This window comes from Homo sapiens, chromosome 15 (assembly GCF_000001405.40).
Source record: "Homo sapiens chromosome 15, GRCh38.p14 Primary Assembly".
Taxonomy (NCBI): Eukaryota; Metazoa; Chordata; class Mammalia; order Primates; family Hominidae; genus Homo; species Homo sapiens.
The window spans coordinates 25,667,260-25,681,600 of NC_000015.10; the positions used below are offsets into that span (position 1 = coordinate 25,667,260).

General features: G+C 49.1%; 1 protein-coding gene across 9 annotated transcripts in view, besides 2 other annotated features; it reads right to left on the minus strand.

The window, feature by feature from the left end:
* Positions 1-4,977: 4,977 nt before the first annotated feature.
* The window catches only part of ATP10A (ATPase phospholipid transporting 10A (putative)), a 192,852-nt gene continuing 183,488 nt past the window's right edge, over positions 4,978-14,341 (minus strand). For 8 of the 9 annotated variants that reach the window (XM_005268261.5, XM_011521826.3, NM_024490.4 and 5 more), the window contains 4 exons: positions 13,735-13,815; positions 13,551-13,655; positions 12,862-13,049; positions 11,453-12,715 (listed from right to left, as the gene is read on the minus strand). In XM_005268261.5, the coding sequence (XP_005268318.1) occupies positions 12,082-12,715; positions 12,862-13,049; positions 13,551-13,655; positions 13,735-13,815 (1,008 nt within the window). In that variant the 3' untranslated portion in view covers positions 11,453-12,081. Of the gene's footprint in view, positions 6,154-11,452; positions 12,716-12,861; positions 13,050-13,550; positions 13,656-13,734; positions 13,816-14,341 lie in introns of those variants that run through there. The other variant, XM_011521828.3, reaches the window with a different exon arrangement.
* Positions 5,448-6,156: an enhancer, noted in NCBI's record as "H3K4me1 hESC enhancer chr15:25917854-25918562 (GRCh37/hg19 assembly coordinates)". NCBI's record gives its function as "activates a minimal SCP1, AML or CMV promoter by ChIP-STARR-seq in primed H9 embryonic stem cells {active_cell/tissue: H9 hESC(primed)}" and the evidence as "EXISTENCE:reporter gene assay evidence [ECO:0000049][PMID:30033119]".
* Positions 6,157-6,864: an enhancer, noted in NCBI's record as "H3K4me1 hESC enhancer chr15:25918563-25919270 (GRCh37/hg19 assembly coordinates)". NCBI's record gives its function as "activates a minimal SCP1, AML or CMV promoter by ChIP-STARR-seq in primed H9 embryonic stem cells {active_cell/tissue: H9 hESC(primed)}" and the evidence as "EXISTENCE:reporter gene assay evidence [ECO:0000049][PMID:30033119]".

Below are 14,341 nucleotides of genomic sequence, written 5' to 3' on the forward strand. Positions count from 1 at the left end.
GTGCTGGTCCAGGGCTTCCTGACCAAGGGAGGTCCATACACCTGGGTGGGAAAAAAATATTTATTGCCACTAATCTCTAACCAAAAGTTAGCATTTCTTTCAGTTATAAATGTGCATAATAAACGACTGTTACAGTACTGGGAGGCAATGTTTGACAGATTCAGCAAATAAAAAATACAGGATGCCTAAATAAATTTCAGATAAACAAAATTTTTTAGTATATCTCACGCAATATTTGACACATACTTACACTACAAAAGTTATTCATTGTTTACCTGAAATTTAAATTTAACTGGTGTCCTGTATTGTATCTGGCAACCCTCTGTCCTGGGGACTCTGTCCCCAACAGCAATCAGCTATTTCCATTCACATTATGCTTGTTGCAATTATCCTGACACACATGTGTGCTCACTATTCCAAAATTGCAGCAGCTATGAAACCAGCTTCCAGATTATTTAATGCATTAATGATGCACATATGTTGTCATATAGCAAGTTGGTTTTTTAAAACTTATTTTGCTGTTTCAGTGTCATTGGTTTTCTCTGTCACCTGATATAGTTAATTTCATGCACTTAGAAGCATGAGTGTGAGGAGTCCATGGTCTTCTGCAGACGACCTTGGGGATCCACGGCATGAAGACAGGGAAAGCTCCAGCAGTGCAGTACCCGTCACCCCTTCTCCATGAGCACAGGCCTGACGGCATCCCCCACGTGCCCCCGAGGCCACACTCCCTGTGCAGTATGCTGGCCCTGGGGGAAGGCTGCCGGATCCTGTGCGGGCCCTGAGAGCCCACATGTTGACAGCCCTGATGTCGGCAGTCAAGGTAGCAGGAGCCTCGCAGCCTGTACACGTGGATGACAGTCCTAGCACACCTTCCAGTGGGTCCAGGAGCCCCCACCGCCCCAATCCTTGCAAAACCTTCCCCTCACAGAGCCAAGGTTCGTCTTAAAGGCTGGGCAGGGTGAGGAGACTTGGGGATGAGAGCAAGGAGAAGCAGCCCTACTGAGGAGCAGCCCGAAGAGTTGCTTGGAGGGGACGGGATAAACATTAAATTGTTCCTGCTACCCAGTGGGTGAGAGCAGACGGGCAGGAAGGGCAGATGATTCTAGAGAAAATCCACCACATTTGCTGGTCCCAGTTTTGTCCTCATGGTGCATACCACTGTGTTTATCTCTGTGTATGTCTGGAGCCCTGGGGCAAACCCGTCCCTCCCTCCCTCCCTCCCTCCCTCATCCCTCCTTTCTTCCTTCCCTCCCACACAACTCCACTATGCTAAGCCCCTTCTTGTTACTTTGCTTTGGGTCCAAGCCCAGTGCCTTCTCCTGATGCCAAGATCACATTCTCACCCACTCTGGTTTAGCTCCCCCCACCCCAGCCTGCCCTCCCTTCCTCCCCCACCAATGCCAGCCTCTGCCCCATGTGGCCCCTTCGCAGCGCTTGTTGACACACCTGACACAAAGCTCGTGTCTCCAGTAACGCACCAAACGTACCCAGGACAGGGCCCAAGTGTGAAGCCGTGAGCGCACTGAGGGTGCTGCAGGGGCACCCAGGCCTGGCACAGGCGTGCTTCTCAGTGCACATTTGTTGAATGCGTGAATGAATGGATGAGTGAATTGAATTAAACAGTAGGTGCCACATGAACCCTGATTTAGAAATAACATGGGGCCCACAGGAATTACCTTTAAAGTGTTTATTTTAATTTATCTCCAAAGGCCAGGATTTGAGAAAGACAATCGGTATGTCTATGCACAAATGGAATTCATATTTTTGACTTACATGTGGAAATTCCTGTTTGCAGAACCTTTCCTCCACCAAGATCCTAGAATGTAGTCAGGAAGACTCATGCACCAGCCTGCCTGGGCTCTAGTCCCAGCTGCACCGCTACTGCCATGTGACCTGAGCACGTTAATTACCCTTTCTGGGACTTGATGTTTCCCATCTGCACATTGGGTGAAATTAGAATAAATTTTACAGGCTTTTGTGAGGGCTGAGGCGGTCCATCTGCATAAATCACTTTGATGGATGTCTGCCTCATCATGAGAGACACGTCAGGCAGGCGCTTGGAGGGTGCTGGTTCATTTGGTTTTGAAATGTGTGGGTGTCACATCACATTAGGTGGCCGATCTAATGGCCCTAAGGGAAGGACCTGAATTCCTATCCCAGCCTCCCCACACCGCAGTCAGCTGACTCCAAAGCATAGGGATGCAGGCAGAGATGAAACCGTGTATAAAATACATTTATTTAGATCCAAGAATACGGTTAGCATCCAGCTGCTCCTCCCTCCACCTAACTGTGTAAGAACCAAGCTGCCACACAGAGAAACCTTGGTGCTTCTGCTTCGAGAGAACCAAGTTCATATCATCTCCATCTTAAACACTTTTGTTAAAGCCGCATACCGAGCACACGTATAGCCATGGTGTGTGTGTGTGTGTGTGTGTGTGTGTGTGTGTGTGTGTGTTTGAGGGTGGCATTTGGTAAAGCCCTCTCAGAGGTTACTTACATGCACCTTCAGCCTGTGGGCACTCACTCACCATCACTTTGCTAGACTGTGCTTTACACTGTGCTATGCTTAATAAGAGCACATGGAAACAGCTTTTTAAAAAAGGTGATTATATGTAACTACATATATATGTGCATTTAGGAAAACATGGGACAGTTGTCTTGGAGACAACATCCTCATTTAAAGAGACCACTCTTAGCCCTGGGCTGGGGTCTCTGCATTTGATTCCCACCCCTGGCTGGATTTGGGAATCCCTGTCAGGGCTGGGGGAGGGAACGAGGGAACCACCAGAGGGAGGGGACATGTGATCCTGGTTCCTTGTGCAGGATCCCCAGCAGGGAGGCTGCAGACAGCAGCAGCCGCAGCCCCACGTGGCCAGCCCGCGTGAGAAATCCAGGCTGAAAATAGCCTAGAGCCTCACACTCTACAGCTCAGGGAGGCACGATTTTTCCTGTAGGGTTCAGAGCAGCGTTAGGAGAGCACTGATGAAATTGCGGCACACCAGAAGCATTGGCTTATTCTTATATGTCACTGGAATACACCGCAGGCTTGCTTTTCCTTTAACTCCAGTGCCTTCTGATAAATCTGGAATGTGCATTGAGGAATGCCGGGGCGGGGGGGCATTTCCTGGGTTCGGGGGCTGTGAAGACCTCTCCCCAAGCCCCTGCAGAGACCAGGCTTTGTGTACACAGCCTCTTCCAGCAGGAGGGCTCCCAGTCTCTGAATGTGTCACGTACACTTCCTTTCAAGGGATCACTATGCGGCTGCATGCTTAGGTGTAGCCGAGAATTGAGCTCCTTCTTCACACAGAGGAATATCGTATTACCTTTCTTTTTTCAAAAAACAATGTATATTATCTTCAGCAATAAAACTGCATGGTTTGCTCTCAGGGCATGATTCAAGAACAGACCAAATAAAAGGGGCCTTGGAGGATCTTTAAAAAATTCCAGTTTTAGTGTATAGACCTAATGGAACCTCCTTTTATTGAATCTATTTATAAACGCTCAATCCAATTGCGTGGATTTGGAAAGCTAACATTTTCAACACGAGACAGCTGGTGGAATGTGTGCTCTTAGTTCTAAGAATAGGTAAATCCCAAGGAATATAGCTGTGCTTCCTGTTGTGAGATGGTGCAGATGTTCTAATAGCGAAGATCAAAATGACATTTGCCAGTTATGAAAATCATCCTCAATTAACCGTGAAAAATACTGTCTCGTCTATCAGATAATTTCTCCCTCTCTCTCCTCTCTCATTTCTTGTATGGGATTTTTGAGATGGAAACTCCCCATCTTAGTGGGAAGGGAGGGGATAAGGGGCAGAGAAATAAGAAGCGAGTATAAAGTATACAAGATGCTATCATGAGGCAGTAGTTCCTGCAAAGGAAATACAGTGTGTGTACAGCAGAAGTGTCTGGCTTAGGGTTGGGGAAGGTGTCCCAGTTTATGTCTGCAGAGGCCGGCCGGGTGCCCCAGGGGAGCTGTCCTGCCCAGCGTGGCTCTTCTGATGGCTTCCGAGCCCCTGGCTGTCAGCCCCCAGTTTTCTCTGAGAGAAAGTGGGAGCTAAAAATAGCAGAATGACTTGCACTGGACCTCCACATCCACGTGTTTCCTGCATCTCCGGCCATAACTCAGGACAGAGATTTATGGCCACCTGGGTTCCAACAAGTTACTCAGGGTTTCCCAGTCAGAGCAGACACATTTGCTGTCATGTTGATTTTACAAGGAGATGAACTTTCAGAGGCTCTGAAAGTGAAGGGTGATGAGGCAAGCCCTGCCACCAAGCAGGCTCAGGCTGGAGGCTCTGGAAGCCTCTCTGAGCTCTGTCTCGGAATCGAGTGCTTTGAAAATATTTTGATCTAAAATTGTATTCCCTAAGGTGCTCTTGCCTCTTTTTTTTTTAATTAAAAAATTGTTGTGGTAACTTGCACATACATCAAATGTATCATTTTAACCGCTTTAAAGCATATAGTTGGTTCCGGGGCCTGAAGTACCTTCATGCTGTTGTGCAACCAGCACCACCATCCATCGCAGAGCTTTTTCATCAACCTAAATGGAAACTCTGTGCCCATTAAATACGAACTCCCCTTTCCCCTTCCAGCTCCTGGCCACCCCCATTCTACTTCCTGTCTGCACAAGTTTGACTACTCTAGGCACCACATGTAGGTGGAGTCACATCATCTGTCCTATTTTTTTCGTTTGTTTGAGAAGGGGTTTCACTCTTGTTGCCCAGGCTGGAGTGCAACGGCACGATCTCGGCTCACTGCAGCCTCCACCTCCTGAGTTCAAGTGATTCTCCTGCCTCAGCCTCCCAAGTAGCTGGGATTATAGGCGTCCACCACCACGCCAGCTAATTTTTGTATTTTTAGTAGAGACGGGGTTTCGTCATGTTGGCCAGGCTGGTCTCGAACTCCTGACCTCAGGTGATCCACCAGCCTCAGCCTCCCAAAGTGCTGGGATTACAGGCGTGAGCCACCGTGCCCGGCCCGTCCTTTCGTGACTGCCCTCCTTCACTCAGTTTCCTGTCCTCTAGGTTCATCTGTGTTGTACATGTGTTAGACATTCCCTCCTTTTAAGACGGAATAATATCCCCTTCTATGTAGAGTCCATATTTTTGTTTATTCATTCATCTGTCGGCCGACATGGGCTATGTTTATCTGTTGGCTATTGTGCAGAATGCTGCTATGAATATGGCAGTGTAAATATCTGTGTGAGTCCCTGCTTTGAATTGCTTGGGTAGGTACCTGGAACTGTAACTGCTGGATCAGATGGTCATTCTGCCTTTAATTTTGGGAGGAATTGCCACATTGTTTCCCACAGCAGCTGTGCCATTTTGCATTCCTTCCAGCAGTGCACAGGGCTCTGGAGCTTCCACATCTTCACCAGCTCTTGTCATTTCTTCATTGTTTAAATGATCCAGAAAGCCTTCTTAATGGGGGTGAGGTGCTATCTCACTGTGGTTTTGTCTTTCTCTATTGATTAGTGATGTTGAGTATGCCTTGACTATCCTTGTTATGAGATTTTATATGAATGATTACCAAAACAATGGAAAAAACTCTTGTAGGATATGTTTGGTGGTTGTTTTCGAGGGTAGACCGAGGGTAAGGGAAATCATGGTGCCTGGGAGGGAGAAGGGGTCCTAGGGCAAGACGAGGTGTGCGGAGGGTTACTAGTTTAAGGACTAACCTGTGGTCACTGCTCCTGAGACACTTGTACGGATGTGTGCACGGCCACATCCCAAGCGTAACATCCTGGGGTGGGACGAGGAGAAGGAGGGTCACAGGGGCAAGGGCCAATGAGCAGGGCCAGTGAGCAGCATGCAAAACCATACCCAGGGCCCCTCAGGGGCTCTGAGGGCTGCAGGGTGGGCTGCCACTCCAGTGGTCAGCCGTCAGGATGAACTGGAATCTCATTCCAACGTGGAGGGTGGGTTTTACAGGAGCAGCCCACTCCGGTTGAGCGAGGTAGCTCAGGCAAAACCTGCTGGACTCCCCCTATGCGCTGGGCAGGGGCGGAGGAGGCCCCTGCTACCCACTGTCATGGACACTCCTTGGCAGAAATTTCAAACAAGCGTCGAGGAGAGGTGGGGCTTCCTGGGTGTCGGTCTTATACAACTGCTGCTCCCGTGCAGCAGCCAATGGCTTTCAGCTACATCAGCTGCAAAAGAGGTACATTTCTGTCAGAACTGTCCTCATTCTGCAATTTGCTCTCTTCAGTTTCAAACTACTCTAATGTGTCCTCACATGTGTGGCCACACACATAGGACTTTCACAAGCATGAACTGGACCCGACAGCTGGGGGACGACGTTGCCCTTCCAAGTGACGGAGATGTCACTCTGCAGTGGGCCGGGCTTCCAGAGTAGAGCGTTCTGAAGGACTCACCCTTCGTCACTGTCACCCAGAGAAGGCCTTGCATGCCCTTTCTTGTCTGCTTTGGCTCATTTTTGAGACTGCCATGCCCAGAAGTCCTGAGAACAACAAACTATTTTTTTTTCTTTGCATTTAAAGAAGGGAGGGGATGGCAATGCTTCTCTCTGGGAGTCTTTGGTGAAATCCACAATTTCCACTGGGCTTCTTAGCCCTGTCTTGGCAGCCTGGCTGGGCTGCCTCAGTGCCCCACCTGTCCAGAGCTGTCCTGCGTGTGCAGGTGCCGAGGGAGACAGCTGTGAGTGTGTAGCAGTGATGGGCATTCACCTAGTGGATATTTCCCGGCTCCAGCTGTGCTGTGTTTGGGCCACGGAGTGTGATGGGAGACAAGGAGGTTGCGTGTCCCTGGACAGTTACCGCTGTTACACTGATGAAAAGAACGTGATGGCAAGCCTTGGTGTGTGTCCCCAGCCTGGGACGCTCTCCATCAAAGTGCATGTGGGCATGAGTTGCATGGTGCCCTGACGCCCCTGCAGGGTTGGAGGGCAAAGAAGAAGCTCACCCAGGTCCCCTCAGGCTTGCTGGGTGATGAGGCAGAGCCACCCATGCACCGTGGGGTCAGGGCTCTGGAAGTGTTTTCCAAACAGAATAACCATGGCAGCCTCTTGTACCCCAAAGGCCTGAGAGTGAGTCTTCATCACAGGCCTTGAGCTTGGACAAAGGAGATTCAGGATGAGAAAGACGCTTGGCACTACCTGTCTACACACCTCTGCTGTCTTCCCAGCGTAGGGACTGCTGTTGATAATAAATGACGTCTGGTTAACTCAGACGGCCCAGCTAGTCAGGATCCCCTTCTTTGTTTTATTTAGTGATTGTGTCCCTGGCCAGGCCTCTTTAAAATTCACGGCTTCGGGAATAATAAATAAATAAAAAGAAACTTCACAGCTTCATTCTGAAGGCATAGATGGGTCAGCCCTGGCTGTCCAGAACATTTTTGCATTTCTCTCTGGATTATTTGCTGGACAGCTGGTCTGTCTTACATTATTTATTATTTTTTTGTCATTTAACTTTGAGATGCAAAGTTAACATCTGTAAAACTAAAAAGATAGCCTTTTCTAAAATAATTAAATTATGAGCTAGGAAATACCACTTTCTGCAGTAAAGCACGAATCTGCCTGTGGCATTAGAGAAGGCAGCTGTGCTGAAAGCTGGAAGGGAAATGGGAGGACAGCCCGGGGCCTGGGGCCTCCCCAGTCTCACCTGGGTTGCTGTCGCCCTCCAGCCAGAGAGGCTGGGAAAAGGTGAAAAGCAGACAGGTTTGCAGTTCAGGGAACAACCTGGGCTTTGTGTGCCATTTTAAACAAGAACTGAGGATGCTGAAAATTCCTCATTAGGAAGAAAACCTTAAGAGCCGGCCGAAGTCTGCCCTGGCTGGATGGCTGTGGGTGTGCGCACGCTGCTCGGGGAATTTTGGAAGCCGCGGATGGTCTCCCGGCAAAGTTGGAGGCACATCGTGTACTGGTTGGGCCTGAGCCTGGGCCTGGCTCAGAAGGTGTTGGTTTGTGCCATCCCAAGTCTGAGCCATGTCGTACACTTTCCAGCGAAGGCCTCCAGCTGTGGTTTGATTAATGAGGACCAGAGAACAGCAGTACCATTCTAAGCGTCCTGTAAGCACTCTTGTCACTTCTGTTGTTCCAAAACACTTGCCCCAGGTTAGGTATAAACTAAGGTCAAGTAGTTCGAAAGTATTTTAGTGCTTTTAAATACAAACATGAGAAGGGATTCATTCAGTAAGACACCAGGTTGACGTTGTGTGAGAACAGGCTAGGTTGAGATAAAAAAGGAGTTGCAACAGGAAGATCCTCTGGGTGGGGATCTCAGGGCCCGTGTAACAGCAGCCACACCACTGAGAGGCCCTGGAGATGGCTTCCCTTCTGAGTGAGATGAACCCCAGGGGCTGGGAGGGAGGGAGCAACCAGGCTGTCTTCCCCAGAGCTTGCTCAGACCACCAAAGGCCATCATTTCATTAAAGAAAAACAAGGTCAGGCGGCGCTGGCTTACACCTGTAACCCCAGCACTTTGGGACGCTAAGGCAGGCAGATTGCTTGAGCCTCGGAGTTTGAGACCAGCCTGGCCAACACGGCGAAAGCCCATCTATACAAAAAATACAAAAATTAGCCGGGCATGGTGGCAGGTGCCTATAGTCCCAGCTACTTGGGAGGCTAAGGCAGGAGGACCCTGTGGGCCCGGGAGGTAGAGGCTGCAGTGAGCTGTGATCACACCCCTGCACTCCAGCCTGGGCAACAGAATGAGACCCCGTTGGAAAGGAAAGGGGAAGGGGAGGGGAAAGGGGAGGGAGAGGAGGAGGGGAAAGGAAGGGACCAAAAAGCTGGTGGTGACAAAGTTGATTTTGTGATCCACAAATGTGCCCTCACCCTGAGTGTGGGAAGCTCCCCTGGACATGGGCTCTGCAGCAGTGGCAGGGTGAACACTTATGAAAGTCTTCATGCCTTCGAGGTAACAGGTCCAAACAGGTGCATTTTCAGTAGAGATGCGAGGAAAGCAGGAGGAGGGCAAAGCTGAGTCCCGGCCCCTTACCGAAGGCACAGATACGATGAGGGCAGGTGCCTCCTGGCCAATGAGTCAGGGAGCCGGGACCCTCTCTGTGCTCACTCCTCTCCCAGGTCTCTCTCCCTGCTCCTCTCTGCACTTTGCACCTCTCCCCGCGCCTCCCTGGCCTTGCTTGGCTTGGGCCACTTCCATGTGCAGGGGAGAAGCTCTGCTTGTAGTTACATCCAAGCACTTGCAGCCATGCACACTTACAGCTGGGGCCTGCATTTTCTAGTCACAAATAAGGACATTGCCTATGTCTCTCTAACTCCTACACCCACTTTTTCTCTATCTATTCTATAAATGACTGAAAGACAGTCTGGGTATATTTGTGATTTGTCTATTTCTCCTTTTTGTAAATTTGAGTTTCACGTATTTTAAAGCTCTGGTTATTAGGAGTACATCACTTGGGCGATTCTCATGTCCTGAGAAGGCCTTTTTATCATTTTCAGGTCCCTCTTTATGGCCTGAAGTCTATGTTGTCTGATATTAATATAATTATGTCTCCTTTCTTTTACATATTGTTTATATATTAAATCCTTTTGCATCCTTTTACTTTCAACCCACTATCTTTATACTTCACATGCCTTCTTTTGAAGAATGCATGTCTTGTCATATTAGCCAGAGATTACAGAAAATATTAAATCATAATGGGTTACTGCAAGCAATTGTCCTTTACCTCTGATTATCACAGGAATGCCTTCAGTGTTTCAGGATTACCACTCATTCTTTGATTCTTCAAACATTTTCTCAGCACATTCAAACTGCTAGGTTCTGTGCAAGGTGCCAGGGATCCAAAGTGAAGAGGACATAGTATCTGACCTCCGAGAACTTAGAATTAATTGATTTTGACTTTGAGCTGGGCACACTGTACAATGTCAAATGACTAACCCAGCTATTTTGTTACCAAGCCTCAGGAAGCCAGCCTTCCTACTTATTTTAGATTTGTTATTAGGATTTGGTAACCTATTTCACCTACTGCTTTTTTGAGATAATCATGAAGTTCGCCCCCATATTATGTTCATTTTGACACCAAACTTAGTTGCTTGCCATAGATTGTTATTGTGGATTTCCATAATACTCCCCATCCTAAAGAGCAGCTGTCAATGCCATTTACAACATGTATTTCTCTAAACTGGCTGTGGGATGCATATTCCTGAAGCCAGCGCCAAGGTCATTCCGTTTCCCAAGAGCAAGCATCTACTCTCCAGAGGAGAAAGACATCCTCTGGAAAGAAGGTAGGTTGTCTGTGCAAGGATCATCTGGAAGCTGGGAATCTGGAACTCTCAGATACGCAGGTAAATATGCGTCTAGTCCTTGTACTTGGTGCTCGCAACCATTACCTTAATTCAGGGAGCAGTGTCACCTTCCAAAGGAGATTCTTTTCCTATGCGTTGTTCCAAGAACAGAGGAGGTGGCATCAGGCTGGGCAGGGTTGGGACGGCTGTCACCTTCGGTCCGAAATCACTGGCTGAAGCCCCCACCACCCCTTTGTCTCCCCATTTAACAGGGCATAGAGATTCTTCTGACGTCCACTCATGCAGCAGCTCAGGTGTTCTAAGGGAAGTGGACCTCTCCTCCCAGCTCCAGCTGGGAGTCCCAGTCAGCACGTTCCCCTCCATTTGCCAGTGAATGGTTCTGAGGATGTTGTGCAAGCTATGCAGGGTGAGGCTGAGGAAACCAGGACTCTGTTTGGAATGTGGAGAGAGGGGCCCTCTGTGTCTTCTGAATAGTGATGCATGGATAAGTCCTGGGGGTGACTCCAGCCAAGCATCCCCGTGAACAGAGGCAGACTCAGGACAAAGCTGTCCCTGAAAGCTGGGAGAAAAGCCCAGGTCTGAGTTGCTGAGTCCAGGCACCCTCTCTTGGGACCTACACTGAGCCTGTGCCTGTTTTTCTGCTTGACTGGAATGAGGTGCATTTTCTGTGACTTGCGATGGCCCACACTCATGGCTCATTGCAGAATGAGCCATGCTTTCCTGATACGCCATGCTGAGGAATTTCCTTGTCCTCAGATCCTATGCCCTCTCTGCATTGCTGTCCTCGAAGACAGCATCCAAAGAGGCCCTAGGTCCCTCCCACACAGCAGGGAGTACACCCTTCACAGTCCCGGTGCCGAGCAGAGCCAGCAACTAAGAACTGTTTGACAAAGTAGAAAGAAGGGCTCGGAAGATGACATGCCATATCATTGCCTTGGGTTGTTATCATTTCCTGCCCTTCCTTTTCTAGTTTTAGAGGGACAGAACTAATGGCTCATTACAAAAATGCCTGAAGACCGCTGAGCTCCTTGGCACGTGGTGCTGATGGCCTGGTGCAGGGTGCCATGGTGGCCAGCTGTGCAGCAGCTTTGGTATGTGCCATGCAGCTGTTTTCTTCATAGCCTCTAAAAGGACTTGCCTTACGGAAGTGCCCTGAGATCATACTCTGTGAGGTCAGGTATTAATCATTTCATACACCAGTGGTAACTGGACACACTGTCTTTGCAAAGTGAAAGTTGTTTATTGCTTGTTACGATTTAACAGGCAAAATACGACACCAGGGATGTAATACCTACAAGGCGGTCTTCCTGAAATGCCTGCCCGGAACAGAATGCTGGGATGCACTCAACTGTGAATTTTTCTTGAGGTCTTCCTTTCCTTCATCTGGATGAAGTGGAGCCCAGCCCTCCTGTGTCAGTGAGACTGGAAGCCTCTGGGGGCCATGTGCTCTGCCCTCTGCCATCTCTGCTCATTGTTCCCCCATGTTCACACCTGCCTGCATTAACCATGAGCAGTCACACATTTGTACTCAGTGCGCAGTCACACATGTTGAAGAAAACAAATCGTACTGCTTGTTCTTAAAAATGAGATGAAAAAATAAATCTAAACACACTTTTCAAGTGTTACTCTTCTTTAAACTTTTATATATGTTAAGGCTCTTCTTTTTCTTTTCAATATACTCTACTTAGAATTTTAAAAAATAAACTTTCTTTTTTGGTACCTCTTGTTTCCTGTATTAGCCTGGGAAACATTTAGAAATACATCTCCCTAGAACTCTTCTGTGCAAATAATAAACATAAATAATATTAACATTTATTTATATATATTAAAAAAGGCCATTTCAAGGTTTTCACTGTGACCGCCTTGAAGATGCTCCTATAAGTAGTCTGTGGTCTGGCCCTTGAAGTCCTGATCGGCCTGAGTGGGGCTGGACAGGAAGTCCACGTCCCGCTTGTCCATCTGCAAGCTGCTCCGTCCGGGAGAACTGTAAGACACTCCCCAGCCTGCTGACCAGCGACCAGGAGGAAATCCAGTTGAGTAAGCTGAAGGTAGGCAGGCTGAAGAGGGAAGACAGGGGGGTCACCCTGCCGGTGCTGGCAGCTCTCACCTTGGACTCCTCAGGACACCCTCCTGGACTCCTCAGGACAGCCTCCCCTGGCGCAGAGGACATGGGGGCCGGTGCGCTCAGCCCCTCCAGCAGGGTGTGCTCCCTCACTGGCATGCTCATGTCCACTGTGCTGGGCTCCCCGCTGGCCTCCAGGGAGCAGACCGGCTGCTGTGTGTGCCAAGAAGGCTGGGACAGGGGCACAGAGGTCTTGACTGTCCTCCCTGATGAGTGCTCGGTTCCCGAGTCCTTCGGGAGGCGTCCCTGAGCAAAGGTCTCTTTGGGAGCACTGCATCTCCTGGGGGACTTCCTGGTCAACTGACGTGCCAGCTGAAGTTGTGTGGGGAAAACCCTCCCCTGGAGGGATCTGAAAAACAATCTAGAAAAAGTACATTAAAACAAAAAGTTAGATATTCCTGTCGGTGGTGTCTTTGAGCTTCCAGAGACCCACATAGAGCAGAAGCAATGCCAATGTCGTCTGGGCTCACTCGGGGCTCAGAGGCACTATCCCGCTCCGACACCCACCTGGGCAGCAGTGCAGCGACAGGCGTCATCAGGCAAGTCAAGTAAAACACTGGGTCACCCAGTAAGGCTTGCATAGTCCAGTAAGGGTTGGACGGAGGATAGCACGTGGCACAAGACGCATTGTAAATCAAAGCCACGGTGAAAAACAAAAGGACACTGAAGCCACACGTTATCCAGTTGAGCCAGGTCTGAGGGGGAATGAGAAAGAAAGGGCTTTTATTTCCACCTAAAAGTGACAACAATGACAATAACAAAAACGTGCCAGTCATCAATGAGCAGGTGTGAGGTTCTGAGGCCTTCAGACACACTGCGGTCTATGACGCGGGTAACCGGTGGGGCTCAATGAGGCCTCCAGAACCCATGGACCGCCCTGGGAGATGCACATGAGGTGAGATGGAGTCAGGGGCGAGAGGGCAAGACAGGAGGGAAAGGAGAGAATGTGGTGGTGGAAGCGGGAAAGAGGCGGGAGGGAGATGAGCATGGCCGGGGAAGTGCGAGCATCAGGCTGCAGCGGCTCCCCACACCACAGGGCTCGGGAATGTGTCATTGTCCTTCTCATCACACTGAGGTCAGCTTTGCAGTCTCCTGTCTACTCAAAACGACCTCCCAGACCTCATGAATCTGCAGGGAAGTGTGGGGTCCACGGCATCAGTGCTCTTCTGAGACGTGGCCATGCAGGCGGCTCTTACCCAGGTTTTGGTTTCAATGCCCAGGTGGAGCAGGAAAGTGAGCAGCGCGATTGTCACAATAGGGGTCCCCCAGGTAAACAGGTCCACGTTCGAGTCATAGTAGGCCTGAAAGACAGTGGGGTCCTGGATCTGTAGGTCCCCGGATCCAGCTGGTAAGAAAAACTGCACCCAGGGGCCAACTTACCAGGTAAGGAATGGAAAAGCAAACCAGGCTCTGGAAGGCGGCGTCGGCCATGTTAAACCAGAACGTTCGTGGCCGGTATTCCTGGGACACAAAAACAATCAGTGATGTTACAGTGAAGCATTGGCATCCTCTGTGAAAGCAGTTAGAATAAAAATGGAGTCACTTGTGTTAAAAACAACAACAATAACAACAAAAACCCACCCTGAGGAGTAGAGCTGGGAAAGGCCATGAAGGGAGGGTTCTCATGCATAAATACCTGATAACAAAAATGATCATATCCACAGAAAAATATATCTATAAGGACATGTGCCCAGCAACTGTCTGTCCAACCTCAAACAGGCACCATCTTTGTCGTTTATCCTTGTAGTCAAGGAAAGAGCATCTCAAAACGATCATGAAATTTTTTCCTTTAAATACATTTGTCTTCCTTTACCTCGCTAAATATGCACATAGCTTACTACAGCACACACATTCCCATTGCAGTGCCCTATTCCCGAATAAACACCATTCTCTTTTAGAGAGCCTCTCTCTGTTTGCTATTTAGGTTGACACCTCGAATGACATTTCCTAGGATGCTACACGTAAGTTAATGCACAAGGCAAGCACC